General features: G+C 40.8%; 1 protein-coding gene and 1 pseudogene across 1 annotated transcript in view; one reads left to right on the top strand and one right to left on the bottom strand.

Annotated features, from left to right (window-relative positions):
* Positions 1-6,900: 6,900 nt before the first annotated feature.
* Positions 6,901-27,175, top strand: part of XKRX (XK related X-linked) — a 72,428-nt gene continuing 52,153 nt past the window's right edge. Inside the window, exons 1-2 of the mRNA XM_011530955.2 lie at positions 6,901-8,931; positions 16,918-17,136. The gene's annotated coding sequence lies outside the window, so the exon portion shown is untranslated. The remainder of the gene's footprint in view (positions 8,932-16,917; positions 17,137-27,175) is intronic.
* CSGALNACT2P1 (CSGALNACT2 pseudogene 1) lies at positions 8,508-9,657 on the bottom strand (annotated as a pseudogene).

Here is a 27,175-nt window from a genome sequence, read left to right as displayed (position 1 = left end):
CTGAAACCTCCGCCTCCTGGGTTCAAGCAATTCTCCTGCCTCAGCCTCCCAAGTAGCTGGGATTACGGGCACCTGCCACCATGCCCAGCTAATTCTTATATTTTAGTAGAGACATGGTTTCACCATGTTGGCCAGGCTGGTCTCAAACTCCTGACCTCAGGTGATCCGCCCACCTTGGCCTCCCAAAGTGCTGGGATTACAGGTGTGAGCCACTGTGCCCAGCCAGGGATTACATTTCAACATGAGATTTGGGTGTACGAATATCCAAACCATATAATTCTGCCCTGCCCCCTCAATTCTTATGTTCGTCTCCCATTTCAAAATACAACCATCCCTACTCAATAGTCCTGCAAAGTCTTAACTCATCCCAGTATTAACTCAAAAGTCTCAATTTCAAGTCCAAAGCCTCATCTGGAGATAAGTTTCTTCCACCAATGAGCCTATAAAATTAAAACAAGTTATTTACTTCCAAGATACAGTGGAGGTACAGGCATTGGCTAAACATTCCTGTTCCAAAAGGAATAAATCAGCCAAAAGAAAGGGGCTACAGGCCCTAAGCAAGTCCAAAACCCAGCAGGGCAGTCATTAAATATTAAAGCTCCAAAATAGTCTCCTTTGACTCCATGGCCCACATCCAGGGCACTCTGGTGTGAGGAGTGGGCTCCCAAGGCCTTGGGCAATCCATACCCATGGCTTTGCAGGGGACAGCCTCTGTGGCTGCTCTCACGGGTTGAAGTTGAGTGCCTGTAGCTTTTTCAGGCTCAAGGTCCAAGTTGCTGATGGATCTACCATGCCAGGATCTGGAGGATGGTGACCACCTTCCCACAGCTCCACTAGGCAGTACCCCATTGGGGACTCTGTATGGGTCCTCCCACCCCACATTTCTGCTCTGCACTGCCCACTGTAGTAGAGGTTGTCTGAGGGCTCTGCCCCTGCAGCAGGCTTCTACTTAGGCACCCAGGCTTTCTCATACATCTTCTGAAATCTTGGCAGAGGTTGCCAAGTCTCCTTCACTCTTGCACTCTATGTGCTCACAGACTTAACACCACATGGAAGCCACCAAGGCTTATGGCTTGCACCTTCCAGAGTGGTGGCCCACACTGTATCTGGGGCCCTTTGAGCCAAGGCTGGAGCTGGAGCAGCCTGGATGCAGGGAGCAGTGTCCCGAGGCTGTGCAGGGCAGCAGGGCCCTGGGATGGCTCAGGGAACGTTATTTTCTCTTAGGCCTGCGGGCCGGTGATGGGAAGGGCTGCCTCAAATATTTCTGAAATGCCTTCAAAGTCTTTTTCCCATTGTCTTGGCTATCAGAACCTGGCTCATTTTTAGTCATGCAGAACTCTGTAACAAGTGGTTGGATCTCTGCTGCCTGCTTGGATCCTTCCTCCAAAAAAGCTTTTTCTTTCTTTGCACGTGGCCAGGCTGCAAATTTTCCAAATGTTTACACTCTACTTCCCTTTTAATTATAAATTCCAACTGTAAGTTATTTGTTTGCTCCTGCCTCTGAGCATAAGTTATTAGAAACAGCCAGATCACATCTTAAATGCTTTGCTGCTCAGAAATTTCTTCTGCCAGATACCCTAAGTCATCACTCTTAAGTTCAAACTTCCACAGATCCCTAGGGCATGAACACAATACAGCTAAGTTCTTTGCTAAGGCATAACAAGGGTGACCTTTGTCCAGTTCCCAACAAGTTCCTCATTTCCATCTGAAATCTTGGCAGCCTGTACTTCACTGTCCATATCACTATCAACAATTTTGTCACAACAATTTAACTGGTCTCTAAGAAGTTCCAAACTTTCCTTCATTTTCCTGTCTTTTTTCTGAGCCCTCTGAACTCTTCCAAACTCTACCCATTACCCAGTTTCAAAGTTGTTTCCATGTTTTCTTTATAGCAATGCCTCACATCCGGTACCAATTTTTTGTGTTAGGCCGTTCTTGTGTTGCTATAAAGGAATACTCAAGACTGGGTAATTTATAAAGAAAAGAGTTTTAATTGGCTCACAGTTCTACCAGCTGTACAGGAAGCATGGCACCAACATCTGTTTGGCTCTGGGGGAGACCCCAGGGAGCTTTTGCTCATGGCAGGAGGTGAGTGGGAGCTTGCACATCACATGGTGAGAGTAGGGAGGGAGATGCCACACACTTTTAAACAACCAGATCTCACGAGAATTCACTCACTATTGCAAGGACAGCACTGAACCATGAGGGATCCACCCCTGTGACCCAAACACCTCATACCAGGCCCCACCTTCAACATGGGGATTATATTTTAACGTGCGATTTAGAGGGGATAACATCCAAACCATATCAGACCTCATGCAAGGTAAAATATTAGCAATAACTGGGATCATTTTCTTGTTACTAATTGGCTAACATTAGATTGGTTAGCATGAGGACTGGTGAAGAGCAGGCTTATGACGAGATTGGATCTAAGCAGATGAGCATATATGGTATTATTTAATATTATCTTGACAATTAGTAGAGATAGAATCAGCAAAGAGTGAACAGAATTGCCTAGTGTTATGTGTCATCAGGAATAAATTATAGCTTTTAAACTGAAATATTAGAGGGGCATAAGTAAATACGGCAGTTCCCCCAGTGGGTATAGTTTTGTTGGTTGTGGGATTCTACTGATCTGACCCTGGTATGACACTTCCCTTTTAACCCAACCTGAGTTGCCTATTAGGGTTCTTTCATGACTCAGAAAACAAAGCTATTTTTCTTTTTTTTTTTTTTTTTTTGAGATGGAGTCTCGCTCTGTCACTCAGGCTGGAGTGCAGTGGCGCGATGTCGGTTCACTGCAAGCTCCGCCCCATGGGTTCACGCCATTCTCCTGCCTCAGCCTCCTGAGTAGCTGGGACTACAGGCACCCGCCACCACGCCCGGCTATTTTTTTTTTTTTTTGTATTTTTAGTAGAGATAGGGTTTCACTGTGTTAGCTAGGATGGTCTCCATCTCCTGACCTTGTGATCCGCCCGCCTCAGCCTCCCAAAATGCTGGGATTACAGGCGTGAGCCACTGCACCCAGCCCAGCTATTTTTCTTTTGCACCTTTTTTCAAATGTTTTTATTTTATTTTCTTATATTTACCACCAACCTAGTAGTACTGCCTGTCACAATATCTCTAGGTCTCTGATTTATTGGTCTTTTAGTTTTATTGATCAATTCTGCTGGGATTTTTTGACAATTTATTTTCTATTTCATAATTTATTTTGTTTTTGTAATATTCGTTTATTTATTTATTTATTTATTTATTTATTTATTTATTTAGAAATGAGGTCTTGCTATGTTGCACTGGTTGGCTTCAAACTCCTGGGCTCAAAGTGATCCTTCCACCTCAGCCTCCTGAGTAGCTGCGACTACAGGCATGCACCAGCAAGCTCGGCTATTTTTATGGGATAGTTATATTTCTGCAAAACATAATTAACCCTTCCAATCTATAAACATGTATATATATTTGTTAATGTCTGTATGAGCATGGAGAAATGATTTGACAACATCAGAACCACATTTGTTACCTTGGAGGGGCAGAGGTGGGAAAGCAAAGTGGAATAGTGAGGAAGATTATTATTATTTTCTTTGTTTTGTTCTAGTGGTTATTTTGAATAGTTGATAACTGTGGATTGTTGTGTAATATTATAAAAAAGAGAATTTAGAAACTACCCGTATCTCTCAGATCTATGGCTCTCATCTACCTGCAAGTTCCTATCACCTCTTCCCTGCATTTCTGCAATAGCCTCATTGCATTTCTATTTTTGCCCTTTTCCAAATATTTTCCCATCTAATAGGCAAGATAATTCTTTGGAAACCTAAATGAGAACATGGCACTCTCTTGGTTAAAAGCCTTCAGTGGCCGGGCATGGTGGCTCATGCCTGTAATCCCAGCACTTTGGGAGGCCGAAGTAGGTGGATCACTTGAGGTCAGGAGTTCGAGACCCGCCTGGCCAACATGGTGAAACCCTGCCTCTACTAAAAATACAAAAATTAGCTGGACGTGCTTGCTTGAACCTAGGAGGTGGAGGTTGCAGTGAGCTGAGATTGTGCCACTGCACTTCAGGATGGGTGACTGAGTGAGACTCTGTCTCAAATAAATAAATAAATACCTTCAATGCCTTTCCTTATACTTTGAATAAATTTCAAACTTCCTTTCTCATGCTAAAATGCGCTGAGCAATCTACACCTACCCACCTCTCAAGTTCCTCCTCTTTGTTCAAGCTTTCCCCATGCCCACTGGACTCCAGCCCCAACCGTTAGCTACTGGAGTAGGAACAACTACATAGTCTTGCCTCAGGGCCTTCTTATATCCTACTCCTTATATTCTGCCACCTATTCTCTGCCTCAGATACTCTCTTCCCACCCTTTATTTTAAAAAAAATGTTTTTTTTTGAGTTGGAGTTTCATTCTTGTTGCCCAGGCTGGAGTGCAATGGCACGATCTTGGCTCACTGCAACCTCCGTCTCCTGGGTTCAAGGGATTCTCCTGCCTCAGCCTCCAGAGTAGCTGGGATTACAGGTGTGCACCACCATGCTTGGCTAATTTTTTATTATTAGTAGAGACAGGGCTTTACCATGTTGGCCAGGCTGGTCTTGAACTCCTGAGCTCAGGTGATCCACCTGCCTCAGCCTCCTAAAGTGCTGGTATTACAGGCGTGAGCCACCGTGCCCGGCCCCACCCTTTACTTTAGTAGCCCTTTCTTATCTTTCAGTGCTCGATTTAAATGTTACCTCCTCAAAGAAGCCTTCCCTGACTCATCTTGGTTCCATCTCCCCTTTCTATCTCTGCTATTTTTAACAAGTTTTTAAATATAAAATAAAGCACAGTTAGAGAAAACTACACAAAACAAAGCTTAAGGAGTTAAAGTGAACACCCTTGTAACCACCACCCAGGTCAAGAAATAGAATGTTGTGAGCCATCCCAGAGGCTCCTCCATTTGCCACATTCAAATCACAGCTCCCTCCTTCCCTGCAAAAGTAGCCACGATTCTTTTTTTTTTTTTTTTTTGCTGATTATTTCCTTGTGTTTCTTTATGGTTTTTATCATCTATGTATGCATTTCTAGACAGTATAGGGTTTTTAAAAATATATTTTCTTAGTGGTTACTATGGGGACTACAGTCAACATCTTTTTTTTTTTTTTTTTTTTTTTTGAGACGGAGTCTCGCTCTGTCGCCCAGGCTGGAGTGCAGTGGCGGGATCTCGGCTCACTGCAAGCTCCGCCTCCCGGGTTCACGCCATTCTCCTGCCTCAGCCTCCCAAGTAGCTGGGACTACAGGCGCCCGCCACTACGCCCGGCTAATTTTTTGTATTTTTAGTAGAGACGGGGTTTCACCGTTTTTTAGCCGGGATGGTCTCGATCTCCTGACCTCGTGATCCACCCGCCTCGGCCTCCCAAAGTGCTGGGATTACAGGCGTGAGCCACCGCGCCCGGCCCTACAGTCAACATCTTGAATTTATAACCCTCTAGTTTAAATTGATACCAGCATAGTTTTAATAGCATATAAAAATTCTGTACCTTTGTAGCTCCACCCCACTTTGTTGTCACAGCTTACATTTTTGTACATTGTATGCCCAGTAATATAAATTTAAAATTATTTTTAAGCATTTGCTTTTTAAATCATGTAGGAAATAAAATGGAGTTACAAACCAGACTTGCAGTATTACTGGCTTTTATTTGTATGCAGTTACTTTTACCGGAGATCTTCATTTCTTCATATGGCTTCAAGTTACTATCTAGTGTCATTTTGTTTCAACTTGAAGGCTGCCCTTTAGCATTTCTCACAGGGCAGGTCTACAGGTAACGAGCTCCCCTAACTTTTGTTCGCCTGGGAATGTTTTATTACTCCATTTTTGAAGGGCAGTTTTGCTGGATATAGAATTCTTTGTTGATAATATTTTGTTTTCTTTCAGCACTTTATTATTTATTTTTTAATAGAGACAGGGTTTTGCCATGTTGCCCAGGCTGGTTTTGAACTCCTGAGCTCAAGCAATCCACCCACCTCAGCCTGGGATTACAGGTGTCCACCACTATGCTCAGCCTCTTTTGAAGCAGTTTATTTTATTTTTATTTTTATTTTTATTTATTTATATTTTTTGAGATGGAGTCTTGCTGTGTCACCTAGGCTGGAGTACACTGGCACGATCTCGGCTCACTGCAACCTCTGCCTCCCAGGTTCAAGTGATTCTCCTGCCTCAGCCTCTCAGGTGGCTGGGATTATAGGCTTGCGCCACTATGCCTGGTTAATTTTTGTATTTTTAGTTGGGCCGGAGTTTCACCATATTGACCAGGGTGGTCTTGAACTCCTGACCTCAAGTGATCCGCCCACCTCAGCCTCCCAAAGTGCTGGGATTACAGGCATGAGCCACCGTGCCTGGCCTAAACCTTTTTTCTTTGTAAATTACCCAGTCTCAGTCATTTCTTTATATTAATAGCAGTGTGAGAATGGACTAATACACAGACCTACACAATAATTTGTGAATAAGATTTGCTCTGCTGTCTCTGGAACCAGAGAACAGGGTCTTAAACTGGGAATGCAGGGTGCCATCTTCTAAACCACCACCAAGCCAGAGGAGTGGGGCAAGGATGAGTAAAAATGCCACAAAGCTCTCCTGCCATTTTAGTTTCTTTTTTTGTTGTTGTTTCAGTGTTCACCTTTGACTGTTTTTCAAAGTCCTGAAAAAGTTGGCTTTGACAGTTTCTGTTTGTTTTTCTATGTTTCTGTGGAGGAATAGGAGTTTAGAGCTACCTAATCTGCTATTTTGCTGATGTCACTCCCCTATATACTATAGTATTGCCCATTTTTTAAAAACTTGATATTTCAATATCTCTCTTAATCTGGTTTCCTATCTCTTTTATCTTTTCTTTCTCTTTAAAAATTATCACATATTAAAATTGACTTTTTAAAAACACATCTATACCATTTTTAAAAATTTATTTTTTCTGGCAATAAAATACTTTATTGGTACTGTTTAATAAACGTCAAAAACATAGTAACATTTCCATTGGTTAGCTTCCATCTTTAAACTAAAAGCTAGTTTAAAAACAATAGGAGGAAAAGTAAACTCATTTGATTCTCTCGAAAAACAAGCTGTAACTTACCTTTGCAAATAATTACGTTATCTCACTTTAAATATTATAATTCACTGGTCTTTGTAATACACAATTGTATTAATATATAAAAGGAGACAGTGGCCTGATTTTGCAGAGAATATTTCACACATCTTTAAAAAAATCCCTAAACACTACCACAACTCAAAACTTGTAAGAATAATTAGGTAAGAGTTATTATAATATTGAATTAATATAGCACCTAGAAATTTGAAATTTGTAATATTTCAGATGATATGATTTACTGAGAAAAAGAGTAATGATTTTTCTTCAGTGAATTTTCAGGGGTTTACATACTAATAGAATTCAACATAGGTCTCTTTTAAAAGCTGAAGGTTAAAAAATTTATGCATGCTAGGAATTGACCTGATGGTAACAGATCCATGTGTGACAAATAATCACACATAGTGCAGTCCTATCTGAATATAATTTCTTCTTCACTTTGTCTCATTAATTTATACCTCAAAACATTCTATATGCAAGTGATATATTTCTCTAAAACATTCCATATTTCAGATTTCCATTCAGACTATCTTCCCCTCCTCCTCTCTTTTCTCAAATCAGAGTGACCTTGTGGTATACCATTTGCTTTTTCTCCCCACAATGAAACTCTTTTTCAACTCAAAGTATTATAGTAATGCAAATACAAATGTAGCATATATTAATATATTAGAAAAAAGGATAGCAAATACATATGGGTCCATGCCAAATGAGAAAATCGAAAGCAAAAACAAAACCTTGCTATGCTCATCTATTCTGAACCACCATGGGAAGACCCTGATGTAGCTGGCGCACATAAACTAATGTTCCCAGACACAGCTAGGATCCTGTACTCCAACATAATTAAATGCTCTGTTAAAAAGGTTTCCGTGTTCTTTTCTGTTTGTGCAAAATAGTCTATAGCAACTCTGACTACTAATCCTGAGCATGATGATAATGTAATAGCATTATATTTTTAATCAAGCCATAGATTCTAACCTGTTTTCTACTATTACCCATTTGCTTAAAAACAGACTTTCAGGAGGCTAAGCAACAGTAAGTTAAGGAGTTTTTATTTCTACCTTTCTCTTGATTGATTGATTGAGGATTTCAGATGTGTCAAATAATTATCCTCTGCTTCAGTGGAAAAGGATTCTTCAAGCTATCAAATCAAGCACGCTGACTCAGGGGTGGGCAGATGAAGATACCTGTCCACACACTATGCTCATAGCACTCCATCTCCTCTGTAAGAATGTGCTGCTCTTCACCCAACAGCAGCCCAGCACATTCCATCCGCTCCACCTAGATGCAATCAGGACACCATGCAATCCCACACACAATCAGAACATGGGCACCAGGTAGAACTAACTCAAAACAACTTTTGGGACAAATACGAGATTTTAATTTGTCAATTATTCCATAGTGCAGTATTTTCACAAAACAGAGACTTTGTGTTGAAACATTTGTTTTTTTCATCTCTCATCAAGTTGAACTGCTAAAGTAATGTCAGAAAGGAAAAATAAACATGTCTTCTCCAAAAGAGGCACTGCATCCGGAAGTGGAATTAAGGCTAAATAAATAGTGCTGGTTTGCGGTTCACACAGTAACGCATTAATTATGATTTCAACCAACAGCTTCGCTGTTTGTCCTGTATGCCTGTTTATGAAGATGCGTCTCTATTTCCTCCCTGAAGACCAGCATTCCCAGGTGGGAGCGAGAGGCCTCATTTATGGCTTTAGACTGGATGCACATGCGGTACTGCTCGGGGGTCAGCTCATCAGCACAGCGTTTTTCAGGCCAGAGGTGGAAAAGACCAGTAACCGGAGTCCAAATCACAATGAGGTCACCATGTAAGTATTTTTGACAAAGATGAACATCTTCTCCACCCCAACCTTTCACTTCCATGTCAAATCTACCAATGATCAGGAAATCAGATCGATACTGACAAGTCATTCCAAAGCCAAAATCTCTCCAAAAGCCAGAATCCTTTTTGTGAACCAGCTGCTGCTCCACAGGTGATGGCACTTCCTCGTTGGCATAAACAATGGCAGGATTGTAAAGACTGAACACCACAGGGTAAAACACCTTCTTACCAGGCTCAGCATTTAACTGTCAGCTGTTAAGGAATTCGGCTGAGAAATAGATATCAACATCACAGAAAAACATAAAGACCTCTCCCTTGTCCCAAGCTCGGGCACCCACATTTAGTCCTCATCCACGATTAAATTCTTCATTCAATGGACCACAGTGTAATTGTGAAAATTAGACTCACTTGTGACAAATTCTAGGCTAGACTTGACTTTAGACAGTCCTTCGTTACCAAAATACACTACTGTGAGATGAATCTTGTCTTGATGAATACAAACCTCCCTGAAGTTCTGCATAAACTGTACAAGTGCTTCAGTTCTTTCAGCAAGTGGCATAATGATATTAATAATAATTGATCTAATGATGTCAATCATCTTGCTCTTCACTTTCATGAGAGGTCCAAAAGGGCGGAAGAGGGTCACATGTCTATATTCCATAAAATCTGCTTTCTTAAAAAAGAGTTCATACTGCATGCCTTTATCTCCAGTCTAACCCTCCTATCCACTCCCCTCACCTCTAACTTCTGACAACCAATAATCTGTTCTCTAATGACAGTGTTGTCATTTCAAGACTGTCATATAAATGGAACCATCCATTTTAGTTTAGTTTTGGTTTGGTTTGGTTTTTGCTTTAGAGACAGGGTCTCACTCTGTTGCACAGGCTGGAGTGCAGTAGGGCAATAACTTAAAAAAATCATAATTTTTTAAAACTTTTATGTGAAGTACAGAGGTATACATGCAGGATGTGCAGGTTTGTTATATAGGTAAACATGTGCCATGGTGATTTGCTGCACAGATCATCCCATCACCTAGGTATTAAGCCCAGCATGCGTTAGCTATTCTTCCTGATGCAACTCCTCCCCCCACCTCCTCCCACATGTGCCCAGTGTATGTTGTCCTTACCATGAGTCCATCTCTCATCATTTAGCTCCCACTTATAAGTGAGAACATGTGGTATTTGGTTTTCTGTTCCTACATTAGTTTGCTGAGAATAATGCCTTCCAACTCCATCCATGTCCTTGCAAAGGACATGATCTCATTCCTTTTTGTGGCTGCATAGTAGTCCATGGTGCATATGTACCACATTTTCTTTATCCAGTCTATTATTGATGGGCATTTAGGTTGATTCGATGACTTGGTGCAATCACTTTTGAGGCTGGCTTTTTTCATTCATTGTAATGGCTTTGAAATTCATCCAAGCTGTTGTGCGTATACATGGTTTGTTTTTATTGCTGAACAGTATTCCATTGTATGGATATACCCACAGTTTATTCTGTTCTTTGAAGGGCATTTGGATTGTTTCCCAATGTTTGTCAATTATAAATAGAGCTGCTATAAACATTCATATCGAGGATTTTTGTTTTTGCTTTTTTAAAAAGAAAACTCTTTATTTATTTATTTTTGAGACAGAGTCTTGCTCTGTCACCCAGGCTGGAGTGCAGTAGCATGATCTCAGCTCCCTGCAACCCCCGCCTCCCAGGTTCAAGCTATTCTCCTGCCTCAGCCTCCTGAGTAGCTGGGATTATAGGTGCCCGCCACCATGCCTGGCTAATTTTTTTATTTTTAGTAGAGATAGGGTTTCACCATGTTGGCCAGGCTGGTCTTGAACTCTTGACATCAGATGATCCACCCGCCTCGGCCTCTCAAAGTGCTGGGAGTACAGGCATCAGCCACTGAACCCAGCCACTCTTTGTTTTCAAATAATTATAGATTCACAGAAAGTTGTAAAAATAGTATAAGGAAGTCCTATGTACCCTTCACCCAGTTTTAGCTAATGGTAATCACTTGTGTAACTATAGTACAATATCAGAACTATGAAATTGGTGTTGATAAAATGTATAAACTGTATTCAGATTTCACCAGTTTTGCATGTACTCATTTGTGTGTATATAGGCCTATGCATTTTTATTATTTTAAAACAATTTTTTTTCTTTTCCTGTCCACGCCCACACCAGTGGCCAGGAAGCAGGCCGCATTTTTTAAAATAACAGTTTTATTGAGACATAATTCACATATCATACAATTCTCCCATTTAAAATGTGCAGTTCATCGTTTTTTAGTATATTAAAGAATTTTGCCTCTATCGCTGCCAGTAATTTAAAAACATTTTATCACTCCCCCCGTGCCCCAAACTCTGTATCACTTAACAGCCACTAGCCTTTTTTCCCTACCCTTGCCATAGACAAAAGGAATCTACTTTCTGTTTCTATGGATTGCCTATTTTGGACATATCATATAAATGGAATCATACAATATGTAATCTTTTGTGACAGGCACTTTTCACTTAACAGTGTTTTGAAAATTCATCCATGTTGTGGCATGTTTCAGTAATTTATTTTTTACTGCTGAATAATGTTCCATTGTATAGATATACCACATTATGTTTATTCATTTATTAGTTGATGGACATTTGGGCTGCTTTCATTTTTTGGCTATTATGAATAATGCTGTGATGAATATCCATGTACAAGTTTTTTATGGGCATATATTTTCATTTCTCTTTGTTATATACCTAGGAGTGGAATTGCTAGGTCATATGTTAACTCCATACTTAACCTTTTGAGGAACTGCCAGATCAGTTTCAAAGCAGCTGTATTATTTTACAATCCCACCAGCAATGTATGTAGGTTCCAATTTTGCCACTTTTTTTTTTTTTTGAGACAGAGTCTCACTCTGTTGCCCAGGCTGGAGTGCAGTGGCACAATCTTGGCTCACTGCAACTTCTGCCTCCCAGGTTCAAGTGATTCTCCTGCCTCAGGCTCCCAAGTAGCTGTGATTACAGGTGCCTGCCACCACACCTGGCTAAGTTTTGTATTTTTAGTAGAGATGGGGTTTCACCATGTTGGCGAGGCTGGTCTCAAACTCCTGACCTCAGATGATCCGCCCACCTTGGCCTCCCAAAGTGCTGGGATTACAGGCGTGAGCCACTGCGCCCGGCTGTCATTTTGATTTTAGCAATCCTAATGGGCATGAAGTGGCATCTAACTGTGGTTTTGATTTGCGTGTTTCTGATGTTTAATATGATATTGTACATCTTTTCATGTGTTTATTGGCCATTTGTACATCTTCTTTGGAGAAATGTCTATTTCAGCCTTTTGTTCATTTGAAATTTGGTAATTTGTCTTTTTATTTTTGAATTTTAAGAGGTTTTTTTTTTTTTTTTTTTTTTTTTAGAGTCTCACTCTGTTGCCCAGGCTGGAGTGCAGTGGTGCGATCTTGGCTCACTGCAACCTCCACCTCCCGGGTTCAAGTGATTCTCCTGTCTCAGCCTCCTGAGTAGCTGGGATTACAGGCACATGCCACCACCCCTAGCTAATTTTTCTATTTTTAGTAGAGACAGGGCTTTGCCATGTTGGCCAGGCTGTTCTTGAACTCCTGACCTCAGGTGATCCGCCCACCTCTGCCTCCCAAAGTGCTGGGATTACAGACATGAGCCACCACGCCTGGCCTTAAGAGGTATTTATTTATTCTATATATTCAAGTCCCTTATCAGATATATGATTTGCAAAAATTTTCTCCCATTATGTGGGTTGTATTTTCACTTTCTTGATAGTATTATTTGCAGCAGAAAAGTTTTTAATTTTGATAAAGTCCAATTTACCTTTTTTTTTGCTTGTGCCTTTGGTCTCATATCTAAGAAACCACTGCTTAATTCAAGTTCATGAAGATTTATGCCTGTTTCTTCTTAGAGTCTTAAAATTTTATCTCTTACACTTGAGTCTTTCATCCATTTTAGTTTAGTTTAGTGTTTTTTGTTTGTTTGTTTGTTTGTTTTGTTTTTGTTTTTTTAGACAGTGTCCCACTTTGTCGCACAGGCTGGAGTGCAGTGGTGCAGTCATAGCTCACTGCAGCCTTGAACGCCTGGGCTCAAGTGATCCCCTGACCTCAGCCTCCAGAGTAGCTGGGACTACAAGCATGTGCCACTATACCCGGCTGATTTTTAAAACATTTTTTGTAGAGACAGGATCTCACGATGTTGCCCAGCTGGCCTCAAGTGATCCTCCCCTTGGCCTCCCAAAGTGCTGAGATTACAGGTGTGAGACACCATGCCCAGCCCTGTCGTCCATTTTCAATTAATTTTTGTATGTGGTGTGAAGTAAGAGTCCAACTTAATTATTTTGCAGGTGGATATCCAGTTGTCCCAAAATTCTGTGCAGTTTTAACACGTGCATAGATTTGTGTAACCACCATCAAAATAAAGATATAGGACTTTTTGTAACCACAAAGATCCTCCTACCTCTGTATAGTCACACTCACCTCTTCTCCTCCCATGTCCCTAAACTTGGCAACCATTAATCTGTTCTCCATCTTTGTAATTTCATCATTAAGGATGTTATATAAATGGAATCTTTTGAGATTGGCTTTTCCACTCAACATAATTCCCTTTAGATCCATCTAATTTGTTGTGTGTATCAGTAGGGTTTTTTTTGTTTTGTTTTGTTTTTAATGTGTGTTGATTCTTTGAGAGTTTCTACGTAAACAGTCATGTCGTCTGAGGATAGGGATGATTTTATTTCTCCCTTTCCAATATTTATTCCTTTATTTCATTTTTCTTGCCTTATTGAGCAAGTTAGAACTTCCAGTACTATGTTGAATCACCGTGGTGAGAAGCACACATTCTTGCCTTTTTTTCTGATCTTTGGAGAAAGCATTGTCTTTCAACTTTTTTTTTTTAATGGAGGCCAGCGACCCCCATGCCACTGCCACTGCCACCCCTAACCTTAAGTATGATGTTAGCTCTAGTTTTTTGGTGGATATTCTTTACTAGGTTAATGAAGTTACCTTGTATTCCTAGTTTGCTAAGAGCTTTTATCATGAATGGATGTTGAATTTAGTCAAATGCTTTTTCTACATTGTTTGATATGATCATGTGGTTTTTATTTTTTAAGCCTGTTGATATGTGGATTACATTGATTTTCAAATATTGAACCAGACTTGTATACCTAGAATAAACCACAATTAGTTGTGAGGTATAATTATTATTATTATTATTATTTGTACTGTCTTTGTCTGATTTTGGTCTCAGGGTAATACTGGCCTCATAAAATCAGTTGGAATTCCCTCCCTTTTTCTGGCAAAAATTATGAAGAATTTGTATTAATTCTTTAAATGTTTGGCATAATTCTTAGTGAAACCATCTGGGCCTGGAGATTTTTCTTTTAGGAATTTTTAAACTATAAGTTTAACTTCTTTAATGGTTATAAAGCTATTCACAAATTATTTATTTTGTATTGGATGAGTTGTGGTAGTTTGTGCTTTTTGAGAAATTGGTCTATTTAATCTAAGTTATCAAATCTATCCATGCAGAGTTGTTCATAGTATTCTCTTATTATCCTCTTTTATTCCTGATATTGGTGAATTGTGTCTTCTCTGTTTTTTCTTTGTCAGTCTTTCTAGAGGTTTATCAATTTTATTGATTTTTTTTCCCCAAAGAATCACCTGTTTGTTTCAGTCATCATCTGTATGGTTTTTCTGTTTTCAACTTCCTTGATTTATGCTCTTAACATTGTTACTTCCTTTCTTCTGTTTGCCTTGCTATTGTTGTTCTAGTTTCTTAAGGTGAGATGGGTACTTAGATTATTTGTTTGAGTGTTTTCCTTTTCTTCTTTTTCTTCCCCCCCACCCCCCACCCCCGGGGGATTCTCTTTAATTTAATTTAATTTTTAATTTTAGAATCGGGGGTACATGTACAGGTTTGTTACATGGGTATATTGCATGATGCTGAGGTTTGGGCTTCTAATGATTCTATTGCCCAAGTGGCAAATGTAGTACCCAATAGGTAGTTTTTCAACCTTTGTCCCCCTCCCTCCCTCTGTCCTCCTTTTTTTTTTTTTTTTTTTTGCGATGGAGCCTCGCTCTTGTCGCCCAAGCTGGAGTGCAATGATGCGATCTCGGCTCACTGCAACCTCCACCTCCTGGGTTCAAGCGATTCTCCTGCCCTAGCCTCCCTAGTAGCTGGGATTACAGGCGCCCACCACCATGCCTGGCTAATTTTTTGTATTTTTAGTACAGACACGGTTTCACTATGTTGGTCAGGCTGCTCTCGAACTCCTGACTTCAGGTGATCCGCCTGCCTTGGCCTCCCAAAGTGGTGGGATTACAGGTGTGAGCCCCCGCACCCAGCCCTGTCCTCCTTTTTTCTAATGTAAGTGTTTAGTCCTATAAATTTTGTTGTCACCACTGCTTTAGCTGCATTCCGTACATTTTGATATATTGTATTTTTATTTTCATTCAGTTTTATATATTTTTTAAATTTCCCTTGAGACTTCTTCTTTGACCTATGGTATATTTATGTGTGTTGCTTAATTTTCAAATGTTTGGAGATTTTCCCATTGTCTTTTAGTTATTAATTTCTAGTTTAACTTGTGCTCAGAAAATATACTCTATGGCTTTAGTTCTTTTAACATAGTTTCAGTCCTTTTGTTTAGGTTTATTTTATGACCCAGGATATGATCTGTTTTGGTGAAGATTCCATGTGCTCTTTAAAAGAACATCTGCTCTGCTGTTGGTGGGTGAAATATTCTGTAAATGTCAATTAGACCTTGATGGTTGATGGTGGTGTTCAGTCCTTCTATATCCTTTTTGATTTTGATCTGTTATTTGTTGAGAGAGAAATGTTACAAGTTTTAAATACAATTGTGGACTTATCTATTTGCACTTTCCTATCTATTAGTTTTTGCTTCATGTATTTTGCAGTCTGTTGTTTGGTGCATATAATTCCATTTTCATTTATTTATATAGGTTATGAATATATATTTTATATGGATATTTAAGTGGTTGTTCTAATTATTGCATTATACATAAGTAATTTACCACAGTCTTCTACTGTCAACATTTTAACCTTTGGGAAGTTTTCAGCTATTATTTTTTCAGAACTTTTTCAGCCCCCTAGTCTTTCTATTTTTCTGCTGGAACTCCAGTGATACGAATGTTCTGTTTTTCTTCATTGTCCTTTAGGACCCTGAGGCTCTGTTCATTTCTTTTTAGTCTGTTTTCTCTCTTGTTCACATTGGGTAATTTTTGTTGTTCTATATTCAAGTTCACTGATTTTTTTCTTCTGTCATATTCATTCGGCTATAGCCCATCCAGTGAGTTTTAAAATTTTTATTGTTTTATTTTTTAATTCTAAAATTTTCATTTGGTTCTTTTTTATATGTTCTGTTTCTTTGCTGAGACTTCTTTTCATTTGTTTCAAGCATACTTTAAATTGCTTGTTGAAGCATTTTTATAATGATTGCTTTAAAATCCTTGTCAGATCATTCCAACATCTGTGTCAGCTCAGCACTGGAGTCTGTGGATTTTATTTTCTCATTCATATTGAGATTTTTCTGATTCTTGGTATAAGTGATTTTCTATTGTATTTTTGACATTTTAGGTATTGTGTTGTGAGACTAAACATCTTATTTCTGGCTGGGCATGGTGGCTCATGCCTGTAATCCCAGCACTTTGGGAGGCCGAGGTGGGCAGATCACCTGAGGTCAGGAGTTTGAGACCAGCCTGGCCAACATCTAGTGAAACCCCGTCCTACTAAAAATACAAAAATTAGCTGGGCATGGTGGTGCACGCCTTATAGTCCCAGCTACTTGGGAAACTGAGGCAGGAGAATCACTTGAACCAGGAAGGCAGAGGTTGCAGTGAGCTGAGATTGCACCACTCTACTCCTGCCTGGGCGACAGAGCAAGACTCCGTCTCTCTCAAAAAAAAAAAAAAACAACCAAAAACATCCTGTTTCTTTTTCCTTTTTTGCAGGCAGTCACCCTGGGTTAAATGTGGTGTGCAGGTCTGTGTTGGAGTGGATATACAGCTTTCTGCTGGACCCTGCTGACACTGGCAAAAGTGAAGCACCTTGCCCCATCTTGTTGCCAATGGATGGAAGTGAAAGTTTAGTTCCCCACTCAGCCTTGCAGATACCTCCCTGGCAAAAGCATAGAACTGACTCACATCACTTTGTTGCTGCTGGGTGAGATTGTAAGTTCTGCTCCCTGTCGGGCCTTGTCGACTGACACAGGGATTAGAGAGAAGCAGAATACTGCCACACTGTTTTGTTCTACCTTGTTGGCACTGTGGGGAAGGAGGGAAGTTCACCTCACTGCCAGACCCCTTCCAGGTGGGGGAATGCGGAATGGAGGGATGACTTGCACCAACTCATTGCTGTCAGGTAGGGATGGCCCCACTAATACTACCCCAGTGGGGAAACTGGAGGGCCATCTAGCACCACTTCTCATAGCCTGGTTCCACCTCTTTGCTACTGGGGAGATAGGGTGGAAGTTCACTCCTGTTTGGTCCTGCTGATACCACCCCTGTGGGGGAGGCGCAGGGCCTAGTTGCCCTGCCTAACTGCTGCCATGTGGAGGCAGACATGGGTATCTCTGTTTGGCACAGCTGACACCACAGGGAAGGGGGAAATTTTCCTTTGATGTTTGATTAGGGTAGAGTGGATATTATCAAAAAGATTTTCTCTTCTGCTAGGCCACCCTTTTCCTAGTCATTTAACTAAAGGAAACAGAAAGGGGCTCTTTTTTTGGGTCTGGGCCTATTGGCAGTTTCAGGTTGCAGGCTTCTCCAGCGCCCCATCTGGGATTTATGGTAGACAGCTCATTAGTGTAGTGTTCTTTAGGTCCTAAGGTCTCTAGGTAATCCACCTTGTCCTTTCCACCTTTCAAAGTCTTCCCATGCTTGATTGTTTTTACATCAAGGTTTTCTGTTTTATTTTAAGAGGGAGGAGTAGTGAGAAATGGGTCATTGATTTTTTTAAAAAGATACTTAATTCTTTCTTTCTACTTTCTTTGGTTATGCTATTTTGTTACTTACCTGTATTTTTGAGGTGACTGTTTAGTGCATTTATTGTCAATGAAAATAATTCATGTATTGGCTGGTCGTGGTCACTCACGTCTGTAATCCCAGCAATTTGGTAGGCTGAGATGGTTGGATCACTTGAGTTCAGGAGTTGAAGACCAGCCTGGGCAACATGGTGAAACCTGTCCCTCCAAAAAAAAAATACAAAAATTAGCTGGGCGTGGTGGCTTGTGCTTGTAGTCCCAGCTACTTGGGAGGCTGAGGTAAGAGGATGGATTGAGCCCAGGAGGAGGAGGTTGCAATGAGCCAAGATCATGCCACTGCACTCCAGCCTGGGCAAAAGAGCCAGACCCTGTCTCCAAAAAAAAAAAAAAATTCATGTATTATCAGTTGAAATACATTTGAATATATTGGAATAAATAAGTGAATGTAATGCTGCAACTTTCTTATGAGTACCACTTTAGCTGCATAGTATAGGTTTTGATGGGTTCCGATTTTCCTGCTGATTATTTTTACAGTTTGTAATTTCTGTTTTGATTCTCTGTTTAACTCAAGGGTTATTTAGAAGACTGTTTTTCAAATGCCAAGTGGATAGATGATAAGCAGAGCTGCGCTTTGTGCCTGTAGATTTCCACATAAGCCCAGGCAGGCCCTCAGAGAGCTAGGGTTTTCCTGAAAAGCTTTCATGTACAAATGAGATTGGAAATTTGGTTCCCTGCTATTTTTTCCCTATCTTTATTCTTCAGGTGTTTATTGTATACTCATTATATGCAATAAGTCTAAGTTGCTTTCCTTTGATGAGGAGGAAAAGAAAGTTAATACATAGTTCCCACCCTTCAGAAGTGTAGTATTTAATTAGCGTGATGATATGTATACACAAAGCAGTTAAATAGCAGTACTTGACAATAGTGACTAAATTACTCACCACGGGAGTTCATACACAAGGAAAATCAGTGGCGGCTAAAGTAATTGGGGGAAAGACCTGTTGGAGGAGGGAGAAGTATTTGAGTTGGACCTTAAAGGGTAAGTAAGATGTAAATATGCACAGAGGAAATGAAAGGATGTTGCTGGCTGAGAAACTGGCATATCCAAAGGCTACCATGGTAGGGAAATGGGAAAGCTAAATTAGGTTGGCAGTGGAAGATGAATTCAGTTTTAGTTGTGTTGGGTTTTAGATGATATAGGACATGTAATGGGGAGATACTCTGGAAATTATTGATCCCCATTTCGTGATAAATTAGTTGAGCTTAACCTTGTCCAAAACAGTAGTCTGTTCTCTCTTGGCTTGGTCAGAGGAATACAGTGTTCTGGTTTGGATGTATTTTAGTTGAATGTATGTGTCACAGGTGGTGTACCAGGTATCTTCTACTTAACCCTCCTGATCTACTCTTCACCCTTTTATACCCTGCTCTGTGCTGCCGGAGAACAAACTATGTGGATTACATCAGTGAGTTCCTTTCCCATTTTTGGCTTCTGGTAGGGTTTGAGCAGTGGAGATCCCTGGCAGGACATCACAGGAAGGGAAGAAATTGAGGTCAGGGTGTGTATTTCTGGCTTCCTCCTTGCAGGATTGCCTCAGGCTAGCTACTGTCCCTTAACTAAAGGTCACAGCTTTCTCGTGAGGACTCTCTGTATCACATTCTTCTTTTTTCTTCTATGTGTTTCTTCCCTCATCCTCTTGTGCATTGGGTAGTAATGGCCCCAAGTTATGCATTCTCTCTCTCTGCTGGTTTTCCTACACCCTGCCCACACCTTTGTAGATAGTCCTTTTGTTAAACTTTCCACCAATTATGCTAATTTGAATGTGCCATCTGTTTCCTGCTGGGACCCTGACTGATACAGATGAGGTCTCAATTTTCAAAGAATTAGAATCCAATGAAATAAGCCTAACAAAATATGACTAAATGTGATTCAATCTGTCTCTCTCTGATTAATGTAGGCTCTTGCAGTGCTTTCAGATAATCATTCTGAACTGCAGTCTTTAGCGTATAGATGTGTTGAGAGTGACAGTTCATGGAATATTAATAATAAGTAGCATTTATTACTTACTTACTCTTTCCATGCACCATGCTAGGCTTTTTTTTTTTTTTCTTTTTAGACGGAGTCTCACACTGTTGCCCGGGCTAGAGTGCATGGCACCAACTCGGCTCACTGCAACCTCCGCCTCCCCGGTTCAAGCAATTCTCCTGCCTCAGCCTCCCGAGTAGCTGGGATTATAGGCACCCACCACCATGCCCAGCTAATTTTTTGTATTTTTAGTAGAGACAGGGTTTCACCATGTTGGCCAGGCTGGTCTCGAACTCCTGACCTCAGGTGATTCGTCCGCCTAGCCTCCCAAAGTGCTGGGATTACAGGCGTGAGCCACCATGCCTGGCTGCTAGGCATGTTTTTATGTGCGTTGTTTCACTTAATCTCCACAGCAACCCTAGGAAGTGGTAATTGTATCTCTTTTTTTTTTTTTTTTTTTTTTTTTGGAGACAGAATCTCACTCTTTTGCCAGGCTGGAGTGCAGTGGCACGATCTCGGCTCACTGCAACCTCTGCCTCCCGGGTTCAAGCAATTCTCCTGCCTCAGCCTCCCTGTTTATCTCCTTTTTATGGGCAAGGAAACTAAGGCTCAGAGAGATTAAATAGCCTACTGAGATTTCATAGCTAAAAAACAGTGGAACTGGGATTGAAATTCAGGTCTGCCTGACTGCATAGCTCATGTTCTAAAATAAAAATGTGGTCTTCAGATTAGCAGCATTGGAGAGCTTGTTAGAAATGTAGAGTCTCAGGCTTTACCTCATGCCTACTAAATTAGAATCTGCATTTTAGAAATATCCCAGGTGATTCACATTCATATTAAAGTTCGAGAAGCAGGGCTGGACATGGTAGCTCATGCCCATAATCCCAGCACTTGGGGAGACCAAGGCAGGCAGATCACTTGAGTTTGGAAGTTTGAGACCAGCCTGGGCAAAATGGCAAAACCTTGTCTCTACAAAATAAACTGTGTGTGTGTGTGTGTGTGTGTGTGTGTGTGTGTGTGTGTGTATCACCCAGGTGTGGTGGTGCATAACCTGTAGTCCTAGCTACTTGGGAGGCTGAGGCAGGAGGATCACCTGAGCCCAGGAAGGTCGAGGCTGCAGTGAGCCACGTTCACACCACTGCACTCCAGTCTGGGTGACAGAGCAAGAACTTGTCTTAAAAAAAAAAAGAAAAACAAAAGAAAATTTGAGAAGCAATACTATAAACCATGTTGTTATTACAGTCTGCCTATTACAGACTGCTATAGAAAGTTCTGTTTGATTGATGCTGGGTACAAAGAGCATTTACCCTTCTATGCTCTTTAACACTGATGTCATATGGCTTTCTAGCTGGAATCTGACAAGCCAGTGCTGCCATTTTTGAGACAAGGGCATTGAGATTCAGTTGGGAAACTAACTTGGTGAGAGATGCCAGGAAACAGCATGAACTGCTGTTGTTGTGGAAAGGAGAGCTTGGCCTCAGGTCACTGCCAGGAATTTTTTGTGGTTGGAGTTCAAGGATGCACCATTAACTGCTGTGCTTAGAAATTCCCAAATTCATGTATACTTGGCTAGTTCTCAGAAAAACTGGTGCATTCAAAAAGTTTTATTTGGCTGGGCATGGTGGCTCACGCCTGTAATCCCCGCACTTGGGGAGGCCGAGGTAGGTGGATCACCTGAGGTCAGGAGTTCGAGAACAGCCTGGCCAACATGGTGAAACCCCATCTCTACTAAAAATACAATAATTAGCTGGGTGTGGTGGCGGGCGTCTGTAATTCCAGCCACTTGGGAGGCTGAGGCAGGAGAACCGCTTGAACCCAGGAGGCGGAGGTTGCAGTGTGCCGAGATCACGCCATTGCACTCCAGCCTGGGTGACAAGAGTGAAACTCAGTCTCAAAAAACAAAACAAAACAAAAACGTTGATTTAATGTCCTTAGACTCTCCTTTCTAGTGTTCACTTCCCACCCTCATTTCATAGTCACTACCTCTCCTCCATGTCCATCATGCCACCCTTTTCTTGTTTCTGTTGATACCTGCTTTAAGAAAGCATATCAGATGATAAATCTATGAAAAGTGCTCTATCTCACTGGTAATGAGGGAAATTCAAACTAAAACCACAATGAGATACTACTGCACACCCATCAGAAGAGCTCAAATGAAAAAAGACTGACATTACCATGTATTGGTGAAGATGGGGATTTATTGGAACTTTTGTACACTATTGGTGGTTATATAAATTGGTACAACTGCTCTGAAAAGCTATTTGGCAGTGTCTACCAAAACTGAACTTAGGCATACCCCAATGACCAAGTAATACCACTCCTAGATATTTAACCAAGAGAAAATCTCCCACATGTACATAAGGATACACGTATATATGTAGATGTCCATTGAAGGATTTTGTTTGAGACAGTAAGAAACGAAAAGCAACCTAAATGATCATCAACAGAATGAATACATCAACTATGATGTATTCATCTGATGGGATTCCATGCAGCAGTTAAAATGAATGAATTATAGCTGTATGTAGCAACACAGAACTATAGCAAAATATATGAAAACCATACTGTTGGCCAGGCACGGTGGCTCACACCTGTAATCCCAGCACTTTGGGAGGCCAAGGCGGGCGGATCACCTGAGGTCAGGAGTTCGAGACCAGGCTGGCCAACATGGTGAAACCCTGTCTCTACTAAAAATACAAAAATTAGCTGGGCATGGTGGCAGGCACCTGTAATCCCAGCTACTCGGGAGGCTGAGGCAGGAGAATCGCTTGAACCCAGGAGGCGGAGGTTGCAGTGAGCCGAGATTGTGCCATTGCACTCCAGCCTGGGAGACAAGAGCAAAACTCCATCTCAAACAAAACAAAACAAAACAAAACAAAAAACACACAAAAACACAGAAACATACTGTTGAGGAAAAAAGGTGAAAAAGTTATAGAAAATTCTGTATAATAGTATTAACGTAAAGTATAAAAACATAAAACAATATCCTATTATGTTATAGGTTATATTATTTGTGGTACATGCATAGATAGTAAAAGGAAAGTTAAGAAAAATATTTATGTTTATGGTACATGCATAGATTTAATGTTTATGGCATGCATATAGAGAGTAAAAGGAAAAGAGCTCTCACTAAATACACACACACACATACACACACACACACAGTCAGTTAGTTGCATAACTAGGATGAGAAGCCAGTTTTCCTTATTCTTCCTTAGTCTAACAAAATCTAAATGGTCTGCATGGTCATTAACTTGGCTTCTTGTCTCCTGTAGCTAGGCTTTGTATAGCTCAGAACATGTTATGGGAGCATGGTGAGTTTGGGGGGAGTGGAGTTAGTATCTCTTTTACATGAAGGCAGGGGGCAAGGTTGCTATAAACTTTTTTTTTCCACATTCAGACCCCCTGTCTACTGGCCAGGAATGCTGAGTTTCACCTGATTAAGGGTATCAGTAAACAAGGTAATGTGAAACACTAGTAAGCTGGTGACAGTTTGAACCTAAAGCTGAACTCCTCTAGCACTTCTCAGTCATGTTTGACTAGCTCTGGCAGGAGCTGCTGGACACAGAGATAAACCCAGAGAACCAAAAAGCTATAAATGGCCTCCAGTGTGATTAAAATGGACTATTGGCATAGTAGTTGGATCAAAATTCTAAGTTCTGAACAACATAGGTTTTCATGTACAGGGTCTACAGGGTATAGGATAAGACAAAATTCTGGAAAATGAAAGGCAGTATATGGCCCCTGCTCTCCCAGATTGACTGTGGTTACTTTTTTCTCAATTACCTAATAATTGCCTTTAAATTCCCCAGGCTGTTAAGACCTCGAAAATCTACCAGAGGGTATGTGAGATAGAGTAAGAAAGAGAGTTTTAGAAGGGCAGGCAAAAAGGAGGAAAATAAAAGAGGAGACTCTCTTGAATGTGTTGTTTCTGTTCTTTGATGATCTGACCTGCTGTTTTTTATGCATTTGACCTAGTAATGACTCATGAGGAGAGCCTCGGAAGATGTTTGGGTTCTAGTCCTAATACCTCTATTTCAGTGACCTTGAGCAGATCAGTTAACTTCTTTGAACTTCATATACCTCATCTGTAAAATGGAGATAATAATAGTATGCTGAGTGATAAGCCGGGCGCAGTGGCTCATGCCTGTAATCCCAGCACTTTGGGAGGCCGAGGCGGGTAGATCACCTGAGGTCAGGAGTTCAAGACCAGCCTGGCCAACATGGTGAAACCCCATCTCTACTAAAAATACAAAAATTAGCCGGGTGCGGTGGTGTGTGCCTGTAATCCCAGCTACTCGGGAGGCTGAGGCAGGAGAATCGCTTGAACCCAGGAGGCGGAGGTCGCAGTGAGCCAAGACCAAGTCTCAAAAAAAAAAAGAAAAGAAACGCTGAGTGATATTTACATTTGAAACCCATCTTCTGAGCTCCTTATTTTTACTGGAAATGGGAATCAGAGTTTAAGAAGAAATTCCATCACTTTTTGTTCTCAGGATACATATTTAGTTAAGTTCACAGGAAGCAATGTTTATAGGGAGAATATGTAAGAAGGTAGCTGCAGCTGTGACAGCCACAGCAGACTCTTTATGCTTGTCCATTAGAACTTTCTGTCATGTGGACATCTTCTATATCTGCGCTATCCATACATGTGTGGCTATTGAGCACTTGAAATATGCTAGTGCTCTAGTGTGACTGAGGAAATGAAATTTTAATTTTTTTTTTTTAAGACAGAGTCTGGCTCTATCACCCAGGCTGGAGTGCAATAGCGCAATCTCGGCTCACTGCAACCTCTGCCTCCTGGGTTCAAACGATTCTCCTGCCTCAGCCTCCCAGGTAGCTGGGATTATAGGCGTGCACCACCACGCCTAGCTAATTTTTGTATTTTTAATAGAGACGGGGTTTCACTATATGTTGGCCAGGCTGGTCTTGAACTCTTAACCTCAGGTGATCCACCCACCTTGGCCTCCCAAAGTGGTAGGATTACAGGCATGAGCCACCACACCAGGCCTGAAATTTTAATTTTATTTAATCTTAATTAGCTTAAGTTTAAATAGCCCTATGTAGCTTGTGGCTACCCTAATGGACAGCTCTAGCTGCCCTGAAAAAGCCATCATTGTTATTAGGGAAGCAAGGCATATACTCTTGAGACCAGTTAAATACCAAAAGAATTGGGGTCAGACAGTAGAGACTTAATTATTCAGAAAACAAATATCCACTGGGCCGGAGAATTTAAAGAGAGTCTTATAAAGTAAGTGAAACTTGGGCTTGAGCTAGAGGGATGTACAGTGGATAGGAGAAAAGAAGGCAAGAGGTTATTCTGATGGGTTGGAGGGGGTGGGCAAATGTTTGCAGTTAAAAAATATCTCCTACATGAGAAGTTTGAGGACAATGACTATTCTAAAATAGAGCACTCATATTGGGAGTTAGGCGTGTTTGGGCCAGGTCATGGACAGTCTTGAATGCTATCACACAGAGTTTGGGCTGTCCACATAGGCTGATGTTTTGCCAGGCTTGCTTAAAACATAGATTCTCAGGCCCCACCTTGACCTACTACATCAAATTTTCTGGGTTGGAGCCTAAGAAATCAGTATTTTGAGCAAGCTCCCCAGATGTTGATGATGCACATTCAAGTTTGAGATCTATTAGATAGACAGAAAGGAGCCCATGGGAGCTTTTGCTGAAGGGAGTGATGTGATAATAGCAGTATCTTTGGAAGCTCAATAGGGTGGGACAGTGTAGGATGTAGAAACTAGAGTAAGGAAACCAGTTAGGTGACTGTTAAAGTAGTTCAGATATGAACTTCACAAATTCAGATTTTCTTTCTGGCTGGTACCCTTGGAATTGTCAAATTGACTCCTAAAATTTCCCTGCAGGCCATATTTTAATTTTCAACACAATTTGTTTGCTGTTTTAAATGACTAGGGCCCAGGGACCAAAGCCTGACTTCCTTGGTTCAAATCTGAGCTCTACTACCTAAGTGATTTTAGCTTAGACAAGTTTTCATAACTTTTCTGCGTTTCAACTTCCTTTTCTATAAATTGGAGATGATTATAGCTCCTAAATCATAAGGACATTGCAGGTGTTAAATTAGATCATAAAGGGCTCACAACAGTACTTGGCACATAGTAAGCACTCAATAAATGTTGGTATTAATATTATTTAAACTAAAGAGCCCCTTAGTTTATTACAATTTGTATAATAGTTAAAACCAGTCAATTACCTTTCACACACACAAAAACATGTTAAATGTGCCCATTTGGTATGTTAAAACTGAGTGCTAGGCTTTTTGCTGAATGAGTTGTATTTCAAAGCATAGTGCTTCAGTTAATTTTATATATGATTATCCTTCATAAAATAAGTCTAAACAGGATGAATTGTTTTTCCCACTGATTGTGTTAATCTGTGATTAGTTCTTGGCTATGAATGATATATCTTTTTAAACTTTGTCCTTTTTAGATTGCTACTAGCTTTCAGTGGATGCTATTTGTGATATTTATTTCTGAAGAAAAGAATGGACACTCTTTTGCTCTTCAGGGGGACTGATAGTGGAAATAAAATTTGATTTGTTATCTGGGCATGTGGCCTGGTGTCAGCTGATCCCATGACTTACCCTGGAGGTGTGGCAACAGGTTTCTGAAGGGGTGAGAAAGTCTCTTCAGGTGCCTTACTTGGGAATACGTGAACTTCCGGTTGCTGCTTCACTCTTCTTCCAGGCCTCACTGACACAGAGGCTTCTAGCCTCTCCAGTTTCCTTTGCATTGTCAGCTGCCTGAAGCAACTCTCAAGATGCACCTGCAAGTCAAGGGCGGGGAGGGAAGGAAACAGCTAAGACCCACGATAGCTACCTACACACTTCTGAGCCAGGCTGAGCCAAAACATTGCCTCAAAATCTTCTTTCTGCTTTAAGAAACAAAGTCACTCCTAACTTTGATCTCTTAGGTTCTGTTAGATAGTTGAAAAAGAGAGGTCTATGGCACAGTTGGTTAAGATTCTTTTTTTAATGTTTTGACAAGATTAATACATATATTCCCTGCCATCTCCCTAGTTGTCCATTTCACTTCCCTGGAGGCAATCAGCTACCAGTTTCTTGTGTATCCTTTCAGAGATCTGCTATACATGTATGTATATGTATAACCTTATATTTTTTCTTTATATCCTTAAGTTTTATACAAATTGTAGCATACCATAAATGATATCCTGCACC

This window comes from Homo sapiens, chromosome X (assembly GCF_000001405.40).
Source record: "Homo sapiens chromosome X, GRCh38.p14 Primary Assembly".
Taxonomy (NCBI): domain Eukaryota; kingdom Metazoa; phylum Chordata; class Mammalia; order Primates; family Hominidae; genus Homo; species Homo sapiens.
The sequence above is the reverse complement of the archived record's forward strand: the minus strand, read 5'-3'. Positions and strand labels throughout refer to the sequence as shown.